The sequence below is a fragment of the Homo sapiens genome, chromosome 6 (genome assembly GCF_000001405.40).
Source record: "Homo sapiens chromosome 6, GRCh38.p14 Primary Assembly".
Lineage (NCBI taxonomy): Eukaryota > Metazoa > Chordata > Mammalia > Primates > Hominidae > Homo > Homo sapiens.
In genome coordinates, this window is record NC_000006.12 from 5,277,818 (window position 1) to 5,290,529 (window position 12,712).

Below are 12,712 nucleotides of genomic sequence, written 5' to 3' on the forward strand. Positions count from 1 at the left end.
CAATAAAATCCTAACACCATGTTGTCCATTTTCACTGCCCCCGACCCCTCATTTTAAGGAATATCACTGTACCCAGTCCATTTTGGGTATCCTGACTTCATAAATGAGGGAAGTGTTAGCAGAGTGGATACTTAGGAGTTTGATGTCTTATATCCTGCTCCGTTTGGACTAGAACCTTAATCTTTTCAATATTTTCTCCTTAAAGTATACTTCATCTGTCATTAATCTAAATTATCATCTCACATAAAGCAGCTGACTGTTGACGTTTTCAGTTATCACAGTGTGATCCTGAAATGGGGAAGGACTGAACAGAGCCCTGAAAGATGAGAGTTCGGCTCTGGCTGTACCCTAGCTTGTGTGATCTGTGAGTAAATGACCTTTTCCTCCTTTACTTTCTTCAGTCTAAAGCAGAACTGAAATAACCTATTCTCTCCTCACCCCTAGGGACATTGCAAAGATTCAGAACATATTCTCATTAGTGCGCTTTGGTTTTCTGCAATAAGGAGGGTGTGTAGACAGAGCTTGGTATTGTTGCCACGAGTGCTGGGGTCTAATAGGAACGCTGGTTTTTGGTTGGTTGTTTTTTTAACTTGCATGGTGTTTTAATAGCAGAAGATTATGGTTTCTTCAAAATATGGTAAAACGAAGGGATTTTTACACAAAGTTTTTTACTAAAAATGACGATGTTAATGGCGTACTTTATTTGAAAGAAGCCTTATTTTTATTAGTAAAATACTTGATGTATGTTTTAATGTGTGTAGATTTAAAATACATTCTTTAACATTATTCTCCATAACTATTCAACCTCACTAGGTTTTCCTGTTTAGTTAGCAATGGTCTTTTCTTTATTAGGCTAAAAAAGAAACCCATCAAACCCTGACATGAGTCACATGATTTCCACATTTGACTCTGAATTAATTGGGTATGAGATGCAGCCTTCCCCCTCTCCACCCCGTGTGATACACTTCAGCTCTTCCCAGCAAGAGAGGTTCTGTTTTCTCTCTCTGAAAGAAATGCAGAGAGAAAGGAAATGCCTAGATGGTTTGGCTTCCACTAAGTAGAGAGGAGGATAGAGTCTTCAGGCATCCTCAGGAGGCCTTGAGTGCACAACAAGACAGGTGGCTTCAGCGCTTGCTTGTGGCCCTACTGTCCATACTGTTCAGAGGTCTTGGTGATGTGTCTTGCAGATGCTTTGTGTAGGTCTTTGAAAGAGAACTTGAACTGAGGATGGTGTGCTGTGATGAACACAGCCAGGGATGTGAGATTAGAAAATCTTGAGGCCGGGCACAGTGGCTGATGCCTGTAACCCCAGCATTTTGGGAGGCCTAGGCGGGCGGATCATGAGGTCAGGAAATCGAGAACACCCTGGCTAACACGGTGAAACCCCGTCTCTACTAAAAATACAAAAAATTAGCCGGGCATGGTGGCATGAGCTTGTAGTCTCAGCTACTCGGGAGGCTGAGGCAGGAGAATCACTTGAACCCGGGAGGCGGAGGTTGCAGTGAGCCGATTGCACCACTGCACTCCAGCCTAGGTGACAGAGCAAGACTCCCTCTCAAAAAAAAAAAAAGAAAAAGAAAAAGAAAAAAAGAAAGCAATCTTGAGTTGAAAATGCAGTGAGAAGATTGAAAGATAACAGAATGACAAGTGTATATAAATGGAGTTGAGTGAGTTGCTGAGTGTATTCGTTTGGCTAGTTTCTCTCTATAAATAAATATAGAAAAAATAAAAAATATAAATGTGTGTGTGTGTGTGTGTATATATATATATTTTATATATATATAAAATAAGGAAGACGAGATCTGTAGTTGGCAACCTGGAGACCCAGGAGAGCACATGGCATAAGTTTCAGTTCAGTACCGAAGACCTGAGAACCAGGAGAGTGGATGGTGTAAGTTCTAGTCCAGGTCCAAGTTCAAAGGCAGGAGAAGGCCAGTGTCCCAGCTTGAAAGACAGGCAAAGAGAGAATTCTTTCTTACTCAGCCATTTTTCTATTCAGGACCTCAGTGAATTGGATGAGGACCACCACATTGGAGAGGGCAATCCGTTATACTTAAGTCTGCTGATTCAAGTGTTAATCTCATCCAGAAACATGCTCATAGACACACCACATAATGTTTAACCAAATATCTGGGCACCCCAAGGCCCAGTCATGTTGACGTAAGACTAACCGTTACACTAGGCAAAGGCATTGAAAACACCTAGTTTCCCCTTAGTCCTGTCTTTTGAAGGCTAGGGGTGTTTTTGGTCCTCTATCTATGAGCTGTCTGTGGAGCAGTGACAGTGCTGTGGCTGCATGGCAGCCAGCTACATTTCCTGGATACTGCTGCTTGAAGTCTATGTGCATTTTTTGCCCTTGGCATAAATAATGATAGCATGCCCTTAAATGGAAACTGTTCAACCTATGATGAAAATATCTTGATTACTCATATGAATAGTGGCATGGAAGAACACAGCTAGTTAAAATTCACAGTAATTCAGAAACTCATTTAAGCCTATTCTCTTCTAAGAAGTAACAAAATTAATTGCTCTTTCTGTACATGCCCACTCAGAAGTTGGTGCTTCAAGAGATGCGAAATGACAGGCAGGTGATTTAGAGGGAGAAGGAGAACTGCCTTGGATAATATATGGACTGTTGTCTAACTTCGCCATTGGAATAGATTTGGGTGTCAGTTAAATGCTTTGCTTGGTGTTTCAAGTTTAATGAGACAGCTGTAGAATAAACTAAAATCATTTTCTAGAACATACTAAGCCTTTCCCATCTGACTACCTTGATACTTCAGTTTCTTTATCTGGAAACTGTCTTTTTGAATGGCTTATCTTTTTAATCTTGATTTAAAGTTTACTTCCTCAGATAGGCCTTCCCCAGCCATTCTTTTTTTTTTTAATCAAAAAATAACGTCTCCTGTCCTATTTTTAGGTTTCTAATGATTCCTACTTGAGTTGTTAGGCCTTCGCAGCCTCAGAAAGTATGTAGGTTTACAGTAAATTATACACTGTGTATAATTCATTTTTCAATATATTGTAGGTATATTTTAAGGTTTAGTTAAGAAGTATGTAGGGGTAGAAGATCTTATGTTTTTAGTGACATTTTATGATTTACTATTGGCATTGTATTTTCCTTCCATTTTTAATTTTTGATTTATATTATTTTAATTGTATTCTGTCAGATTGGCTGGAGCTATCCTGGACTTTAGTTTGAGGGATGACACTTTGGGGAGTAAAGATTGGGTTTACTTTGTACTCGAGTCTTCCACAATTTCCTTTGTAGGGCTAACCGTTGTCAGCAAGTATTTATGCAACTGTTGTCTTATGACTACATAGCATGTATTGGTCATAGAGTCTAAAAGCTTCTTAAACAAAGCATGGGATTTAAGAAAGAAGAATTAGCAGATTAAGCCTTAATAATATATAAATACTTTACAAGTGAAGGTAAGACTTAAAAAGATTTAATAGCATAAACTTTAATAATTCATGTATTAGAGGCATCAGGTTTAAAATAAACTGCTGTTCTTTCACTTATTTTGTCTTATTTCCGTCTTTAAATTAGAAATGAAAAGAACCTGTAGTTGTTTTGTTTTTACTGTGTCAAAAAAATGCTTAAAAGTCATGTTTCATGGTGGATTTTTAAAATTGTGGTAAAATATATATAACATGAAATTTACCATTTTAGCCATTTTTAAGTGTGCAGTTCAGTGGCATTAAGTACATTCACATGCTTGAGGAAAACACCACCATCATCCATTTTTCAGAACTTCATCATCCCACACTGAAACTCTGTACTCCTTAAACAGCAGCTCCCCATTCTCCCACCCCCCCTGCCCCCGGTAACCACTATTCTGTGAATTTGATGATATTTTAAAATTGTTGTCCACAGTGATTGTCCGAACCAATATATAGTAATGATATCTCTCTGTGTGTCTACAGGGATCACCTCCTTTAACGTGACTGTATCCTAACTAAATGCATAATTGCCTTGTATTGGGAAATGGTAGACACTTCTCGAGGACCTGAAACCATTCAATTTAGTCAGTGCTCCTAGCCATCACTAACCTTATGTGTTCACCCGGAGTCAGATCATTTCTCTCATTTAAGAAAACAATAATTCTAGAAAATGACTTTTAAGTGACAGGTGGTAAAATGGACTGTCTTGAGTATGTGCTTGATACTCCAAACTTTACCAGTCTGCACTGAGAAGGCAAAAAGAATCAGTAACTGTTATGTAATATTTTTAATACTTCCTAGCTTGTCAGTATAATGCCATTGTGAATGCTGTGCAACCATGCAAAATAAGTACATTGAAATGTAGGGATTCAGATGGCTTTTTAGTCATTTAATGAGCAATAGGAATTTTTGGAATTTCAAGGAAAGTGTTACCTTGCCAGAGGACTTGCTCTGTATTGCTAGGGAGTCTCACTGCTCAGGAGACTGAGGAACAGAGCAGGGCATGCAGCCTATCATTGCCGTGGCTGCTTAGAAGGAAGCAGCAGCAAGCAGGCATGAGAGGCAGCCTATTTCAGGGGTTGCAAAAGAAACACATGGTCCATGGCGCTTAGGGGAGGGAGCATTCACATCCCAGGCGGACACCAGGGGAAGCGCCTGAGGTTGGTGGTGGTTTCAGTAGGTGCTGAAGGCCACGAGCCATTTTAGCCGGTGCATATGGGGAAGGGAGACAATCATGACATGGGCATTCCTGATAAAGGAGGCCACCGGAGTTGAGGGTTAGTGGTAGGGAAAAAAAGAGCAGCTGTTCGAGTTTTGATCAGCTGGAGTGTGCGATTTAGTCCCTGGAAGAGAAAGGGGCTTGGGCCCGTGTGGAGCACTTTGATAGGCTAAGTGGAACCCTGATTTTGTGAAACTTAATAAACTGGTGCTTTAGAAAGGTGGGTCCAGGAATGGTGCCTAGCGTCAATCAGAGAAGATAAGTTATTTAAAAGGGAAAGTGGTTAAAGGCTGTTTTAATTCTCCAGGAGGAAGATGCTGAGGGTCTCTACATTATGTCCATTGTGATGAGGGTGGAAAGGAGGGCCAAATGGCAGAGATATTGTCCAGACAGAGGCTGGCTGAACAGCAGGGATAAAGGAGAGAGTGGCCATAAAGCCTAGTGGCTTGCAATGCATATAGTATAACATTCAAGGGCCAGGCACGGTGGCTTACACCTGTAATCCCAGCAGTTTGGGAGGCTGAGGCAGGTGGATCATTTGAGGTCAGGAGTTCAAGACCAGACTGGCTGACATGGTGAAACCCTGTCTCGACTAAAAATTCAAAAAAAATGCAGGATATGGTGGCCCACACCTGTAATCCCAGCATTTTGGGAGGCTGAGACAGGCAGATCACCTAAGGTCAGAAGTTTGAGACCAGCCTGACCAATATGAAGAAACCCCATCTCTACTAAAAATACAAAAATTAGCTGGGCATGTTGGCATGCGCCTGTAATCCCAGCTACTCAGGAGGCTGAGATAGGAGAATCACTTGAACCTGGGAGGTGGATGTTGCAGTGAGCTGAGATTGTGCCATTTCACTCCAGCCTGTGCAACAAAAGTGAAACTCCTGTCTCAAAAAAAAAAAAAAAAAAAAACAAATTAGCCAGGCGTCTTGGTGGGCATCTGTAGTCCTGGCTACTCGGGAGGCTGAGGCAGGAGAATTGCTTGAACCCAGGAGGTGGAAGCTGCAGTAAGCTGAGATTGCGCCACTGCACTCCAGCCTGGGCAACAGAGCGAGACTTTGTTTCAAAAAAAAAAAAAAAAAATCAGAAGGCATAAATACATACAGGATGAAAAATCAGCTTCTCTCCTGTCTCTGTCCTTCAGCTCTTACCTGGTCTTAGACATTTTCTTATATATGCATGTATATGCATAAACTACATTTATATCGCATTTCTAAAAGGTGTCAGGTACCATTCACACTATTCTTGTTTTTATCCTTTAACAGTATATCTCACAGATACCCTGTATCAAATGTATCAATACATGTAGAGGTGCCTTATTCTTAATTTACTTAGCCAGTCCCCAATCAATAAAAATTTGTTTCCTGTCTTCAGCTTTTACAAATTGTTTAGTGAATATAATATCCTCATTCAGGCATCATTTTGCACACATACAAACAGGTATATATGTAGGTTTAAATTATTGCTTGCCGAAATAAAGGATATATGCATTTAAAATGTTGATAGATATTGTCAAATTATCTTCTACAAAGGTTTTTACCAGCAATGCCTCTTTCTTAGACCCTTACTGATAGTGTTATCAAACAATTTGATCTTTCCCAAACTGCACATTAAAAATACTATCTAATTGTCATTTCAATTTGCATTTCTCTCATGAATGCTATTGAGCACCTTGTTACAGCTTTCAGAGGCATTTGTAATTCATTTCGGGGGATCGTTCTGTCATTAGCTCATTCTCATTTTGCTATTCAGAGGTTGGACTTATATGGAGTGCTGGTGATGGTTTCTCATAAATCACTATTCTGGAGTTTTGGTGGATATATTAAGGCAACAGTCTTCCTATTTTATTAAAAGTTTATTTGTCTTAAGAGGGAATTTTAACTTTGGTCCAATGTCTGGGGAGCTGATGGTATGCTGTTTCTCTTTCGATCGTAGGACAAGTTAGAGAAATAGATTTCCTATCTTGAATTATGGGGTGTGTGCCTGCAATCCACCACCTGCTCTGGCTGTCGTGCAGTGTTCTTCCATGGCTTCTGGGTTCTGTTTGTTAACATTTTATTTGAGATTTCTGCATATAGATCATAAATAGTGCTTATGTTTTATATGTTATTTATCACTGGAACTACTTTTCAGAGATCACCAGTCGCCTTCTGGTGATTACATTAACACTCCCTCACCTTGTTTACTGTCTTCCATCCCCTTCAACTCATCTGTGGCATTTCACACCCTGACTAGTGTTCTCATTTCACCTTCTTGAAATGTTCTCCCTCCTCTTCTGTGATGTGAAGAGCTGAGCTCTGTGGTCCTTGGTGGGTCTTCCTCCTCTCAGCGCTTCTGTCTTCTCCCCAGAGCCTCCCTCCGTGGCCTTTCGACTCCGGTGATCACTGGCATGGGCCTCTCTCAAGCATTGCTTAACATGTTCATCTGCATGGCCTGCCATCACCTGGAACTCAATGTGTCTGAAACAAACTCAGTCGTCACCCCCACCCCAAGTCAGCTTCTCACTCAACCTCTAACGTTTTGTTAAGGATCCTGGCTCCAGCATGTGTGGAGTGCCTTCCATGTGCCTGGCTCTAAGAAGCCAGGTAGCAAGGAGAAAAAGTGACAGCAAAGGGGGCAGGCAACAAATACAGATTTCAAGAGACTTGAAGCGAGAAAGAAAAGGCCACAGGTTGGAGAGGGAGAGGCTGACAGGAGCCTGATCTGTCTGAGGTGCAGAAGCAGTCAGGGTGAGAAGCATCGGATGCAGTGACGGAAGAGGCCAAAGGGAGCAGTGTCCAGGAGGCGACCGAGGGGAGCAATAAGCTGGAGGAGGAGTCCAGAGGGAGAAGGGGAGGAAGGCAGGATCTAGAGAGACTGATGGGGGAACACCAGCTGCCGGAGGATGAGGCCTGTGCTGAGAAGAGTGGGGTTTGGTTCTTGAGGAGAATAGACATTTTAAGTCCTCTGAACATTTTTCTTAATGTGTATTATACCTTTGTGAGCAAAATGCTGTTCTCAGCTACTTTTGAGAGACTCGTAAAGCGTGTAGGAGGACACGGAGGACCATGGGGGACTCATCTTTGCACATGGTGGGTGCTCGCAGTTATTCCTTGAATGTAAGGCTGCATCAGCAAGTGCATTCTCTCTTCAGGCAAGACTGCTTTTCAAATCTCTCCATTAGCAGTTCCATATCAGCAGCTTTAGGGCAGGTAGAGAAGGCGTTCATATCTCTTGAAATGTCAATCAAACCATTTAGGTCAAGTTTCAGTGTCTGTCTCAGTGATGTTATCTCTGTGGGTAGTAAGGGGCCATGAAGCCCAGCTAGCAGTCACCCTCAGCACTCCTGAGAGGCCTCGCGGCATTCCCTGGAATTCCTCAGTCTTGGGTGCTGCTTCTTTGCACGGGGCTTCTTCTCTCCAGTTGTTTGTCCCAATTGTTAAGAAAGTTCATACCTGTGGAGAATATGGTTCTTCACTTTGCTCTGTCCTTCCCACCCACGGTCTCATACACCTGCCTAGAACACTTCCTCTGTTTGCATCATAACATTTCACATGTGATAGCTGTTCCCTTCTTATGTCTCTTTCTCCAGGATAAAGGTAACCTTTTTCGCTCATCTTCTAAATACTTGATTTCCAGACACTTTAATTCATAGGCTTGCATTTAGTACACTCTAAATTGAACATTGGATTGATTGTTGTCAGTGGGGTCAACACTGACCCCTTGTTCCTAGATAGAATTATAATCTGACTGTCCATGTTTCCTTATAGTATCCTGTGGTGCTTATCATAAGGGCACTAAGTTTTTACTTTTTTTTGGAGACAGAGTCTCACTTTGTCACCCAGGCTGGAGTGCAGGGGTGTGATCTTGGCTCACCTCAGCCTTGACCTTCTGGGCTCAAGTGATCCTCCTGCCTCAGCCTCCCAAGTAGCTGGGACTACAGTTGCATGTCACCATGCCCGGCTAATTTTTGTGTTATTTGTAGAGAGGGGGTTTCTACATGTTGCCCAGACTGTTAACTCCTGGGCTGAAGTGATTTGCCTGCCTCGGTCTCCCAGACTGCTAGGATCATAGGTGTGAGCCACTGTGCCTGACCAATCTGTACTTCTATTCAGAATATAAAGTGTGTTTTACTACCCATGCTCTATCACTCTGTATGTAGAAATAAATTACGTATATGTGTATGAGTGTGTGTGTATTATATACATAATTATATTCAATGCGATTTATAAAATACATGTATGATATGGGTACCAAATACATTAATACCATATAATTATGTATATAGAACATGCATAATGTATACTTTATTATTATGTATGTAACACATATGTTGGCATGTGTGTATGTGTGTGAGAGAGAACAGTTTCTATATGTTAAATAATTTCCATGTTAATTTTGGTGCCACTGCAGAATCTTTCTGAGAGTGAGAAACTCCTCCCGGGGCATGTTCGCCTCTGAACCCGTAGTGCAGAAAGCCTGACCTCATCAGACCTAATACAGGAAGACTCGCTGCACTTGTGGCCCCAGGCCTGGCCGCCTGTGGAGCACAGAGCATGGCCATTGCCCCGTGGCTTGGCTCTGTTGAGGGCTGCCTGTTAGCTCCAGCTTTACTGGTAGCCTGGTTAGCTCTTTAGGTAAAGAGCCAGACAAGTTCAATTTGGTTTTGGTGTTGATTCTTTCCAAAGCAAAGCAAATTTCCCGGGTGTGATATAGTGTTCAGATTTGATTTTGCATGTTGAGCCCGAGGCATTCCTTTGCCTGACTTGGCTTCTCAGCTCTGTTTGTGGGGAACTGGGCTGTAGACATTTGCTGTGGACCTTGTGTCAGAGGTGGCAGTGGTGCTAGTGGGGAAGAGAGAAGAGAAATGGTGGAGTGGTCCGTGTTATCATCCTGTTCTAGTGCTCAGAACTGCTCACGGAGGTGTCCTCAGCCCATCCCACAGCCTGTTCCTTCCCGGCCGCACTGTTTCCTCTTTTTATCCTGATTCTCTTTTTGGCACTGAGAGTGGCCATTTTTCCATTGCCTGTTTCCTCTTGCTCTCCCGTGTCCCTGAAATTAGCCTGCCCCTGGCCTGGTGCGAGCCCAATGAGGGGACATTCGGGCTGCTGTTCCTTCATGCTTTCTCCCACCTCATAGCCCTTCCCCGTCCCACAGAAAGAATCTTAGAGAGTTGGCCTACTTTCTGTCGATGCTGCTCCCTTGGAGGACCTCATAGAATGCCACAAATTCTGTATCAGAAATAGCTCTGTTTATTTGAATGGTTGGATGTCACCCTCTTCCAGAAAAACACTGTTAGTACACACGGGGAATTCCTTAAGATGCGGAGCTCTTCTTCAAATTACTCCAGCCCCATGTGGCTCCAGTTGTTTTTTTCAAGAGATGACTCATCTTTGTGGCCACACTTGGGAAATTTAAAGCTGTTCACTCTACTGAAGACAGAGGCTGGGGATGAGGAAAACAGTCACAGAGGCCTCTGATTATTATTAAGGTAGTGCAGGTATCTGTCATGTTCTCCTGTAATATTTTCTCTTTTCCTCTCCCTTCTGTCATCTTCCTTCCTCCCAGCTGCCTTGTTCCCAGAGCCCTCCTCATATTTATCCAGGGAGTGTCACTGCATCCAACATGTTTGTTCCCATGTTGCTCGTTGGCAACGTCACAGCCAGGACTGGGTGACAAAGATCTCCTCTGGGTCTTGCTTTCCCACTGTGCTGAGTCCAGTGATCATCTTTCATGTTTTGTCCAACCATCTGCCCTGAGATCTTGCTGTCTACTTCTTTTGATGTTTGTAGTCAATAGCTTGAAGTGACTTCTTCTTCTTCTTCTTTTTTAACCTCAGTAAATTATTACAAAGCAAATACCCTGACCATCCTAGTCAAAAAAGAACATTACATAAGCATTGAGCCTCTCCCAAACACCAATCCCTCCTGCTTTCCAAGAGGGAATCACTATCAGAACACTTGGGATCATCACTTCTTTCTGGAGCACCTCGTTTGATACCTCATTGTGAAGTCCAGGTTGTTCTTCTCACTTGTGCACTGTACGAATCACCAAATATACTTTCTAATGCTACTGAGTTTGATGAGAACTGTTCTAGAACACAGCCGTGATCTGTGGTTTTGAATATATGTGGTTGGATTCTCCCATTCATTCAACAAGTATATGTACGTGCTGGGCACTGTTGTAGGTGCTGGCAGTATATGGAGGTGCGGACTGGGGACAAAATCCCTGCTCTCATGCAGCTTCCATTCTTCTCATGGAGCTCAAGAAAATGCTCTTAAAAGACAGAGAATTAGAAAAAATACCTCTCCACTGGCTTTTTAAGACATAGGTGAGAGGAAACAGCTATTGTTCAGTCTTTGCCATCACTTCATTGATTCTGATTTTAAGCAACCCAGTTTTTGAGTCTGGTTTCTCCATCATGAAAATGTTGCAAATTTTAGGGCTGTTGTAAACATATATAGCTGTAGATCAAGTCATTTATTCTAGGTTGAATTTCTAAGATATTCAGCTCTCAACATTAGAATCATTAAGAATATTACTCCTACATTTACTACACTTTCTTCACAATCAGCATGCCCTTAGAGTGGGAGAATTTTGATGATTGATTTTAGCATTGATAACTGAAATATTTTTTAAAATGGAAGAAAATGTTAATAAAATATTTTGATGACACACTTAACATGTAACATGAATCAAATTCCAGATTTAAGCCAAAACTCAAGGGATTACATTTGAGTTTTAATGCTTAGAAGTTTGAGTACTCTATGCTTTCTACCAGTGCTCCAAAGACTGGAAATAATAGAATTGCTTGTTTATTTGCCAAATCAGGCACTGGTTTTGTTACTGGAGGAAGGTGTCCAGGTTCTTGGCGTTTTGAACAAAGAATTAGACAAAACGCACAAACAAAGCAATGAAAGAAAACCACAGATTTTGAAAGTACATGCCACAGAATGGAAAGGGGCATGAGCAAGTGGCTCAAGAGCCCAGTTACAGAATTTTCTGGGGTTTAAATACCCTCTAGAGGGTTCCCACTGGTTACTTGGTGTACACTCTGTGTAAATGAAGTAGTGGTCCACGACCAGTCTGATTGGTTGCGGAAAGGGACTAATGAGAGGCTGAAGTGAAGTTACAAAGTTACACTCCTATGCAAATGAAGACTTGGCCTGTGACCAGTCTGATTGGTTGCAGGAGGGGACTAATCAGAGGCTGAAGTGAAGTTACAAGGTTATACTCCAGTGCAAATGAAGACTTGGCCTGTGACCAGTCTGATTTGTTGCAGGAGGGGACCAATCAGAGATACTTTCAATTTTTCATCTGCCACATGGAGAAGAGCAGGGAGGAGTAGCCTCTGGTTCTTTTGTTACTTGGGCATGGAAAGTTGGGGTTTTCCTTTTGATTTAGTTGTAGGAAGTCAGTGTGAATTGGCCTTAGGTTCCCTGCCTCCAAACCCTATTCTCCTGCCTCAGTTTGAATTCTTGCACCAGAGAAAATCCAAAACAGAAGGAATTCCACTCTTTTGTGTTCATGGTTCTTTTCAAAAGCTAGTTAGAGAGTGTAAAATTTTCAATATTTATATTAAATAATGGTGTTTTAAAGTGTAAAATAGTTTTGGACAGAAATAAGAAATAGCTTGCTGTGTATTACATTTCCTGAAACTACAGGAAAGTTGATTTTTGGTATATTTTGATATCCATACCCTTCAACAAAAGTCTTAAGTCAATGACATTTTACCCCCATTTATCTGTTTTGTACCGACTACTATGGCAAGTGACTGTGTGTGTGAGGGAAACAGTAATGCTTGACAACTCATGCTTCCTGATACAGAGGTTTCTCTAGGTAGGTAGTTCACTTTTTGTACAAAGCTGGCAGGTTCTGTGGACAGAAACCATGGTATCTCACAGACTGCATTTAAGTTACCTCTGAGATTGCAAACTCCATGGCAGAAAAGATCACAGCAATTTGGGTATCTGTTTTAAATTGACAACTTAAAATGCACAATATGTTTATTTCTAAATTTTCAAAGTTAGAAAACAAGACAGCCTATATTAAATAATATAGGAATTT

At 41.7% G+C, this 12,712-nt stretch overlaps 1 protein-coding gene across 23 annotated transcripts in view, besides 3 other annotated features; it reads left to right on the top strand.

Annotated features, from left to right (window-relative positions):
- Nucleotides 1–12,712, top strand: part of FARS2 (phenylalanyl-tRNA synthetase 2, mitochondrial) — a 521,650-nt gene that overhangs the window by 27,884 nt on the left and 481,054 nt on the right. The window lies entirely within an intron of this gene.
- Nucleotides 379–488: a silencer, noted in NCBI's record as "silent region_16875". NCBI's record gives its function as "represses an Ori minimal core promoter by ATAC-STARR-seq in GM12878 lymphoblastoid cells {active_cell/tissue: GM12878}" and the evidence as "EXISTENCE:reporter gene assay evidence [ECO:0000049][PMID:35858748]".
- Nucleotides 569–638: an enhancer, noted in NCBI's record as "active region_23903". NCBI's record gives its function as "activates an Ori minimal core promoter by ATAC-STARR-seq in GM12878 lymphoblastoid cells {active_cell/tissue: GM12878}" and the evidence as "EXISTENCE:reporter gene assay evidence [ECO:0000049][PMID:35858748]".
- Nucleotides 894–943: a silencer, noted in NCBI's record as "silent region_16876". NCBI's record gives its function as "represses an Ori minimal core promoter by ATAC-STARR-seq in GM12878 lymphoblastoid cells {active_cell/tissue: GM12878}" and the evidence as "EXISTENCE:reporter gene assay evidence [ECO:0000049][PMID:35858748]".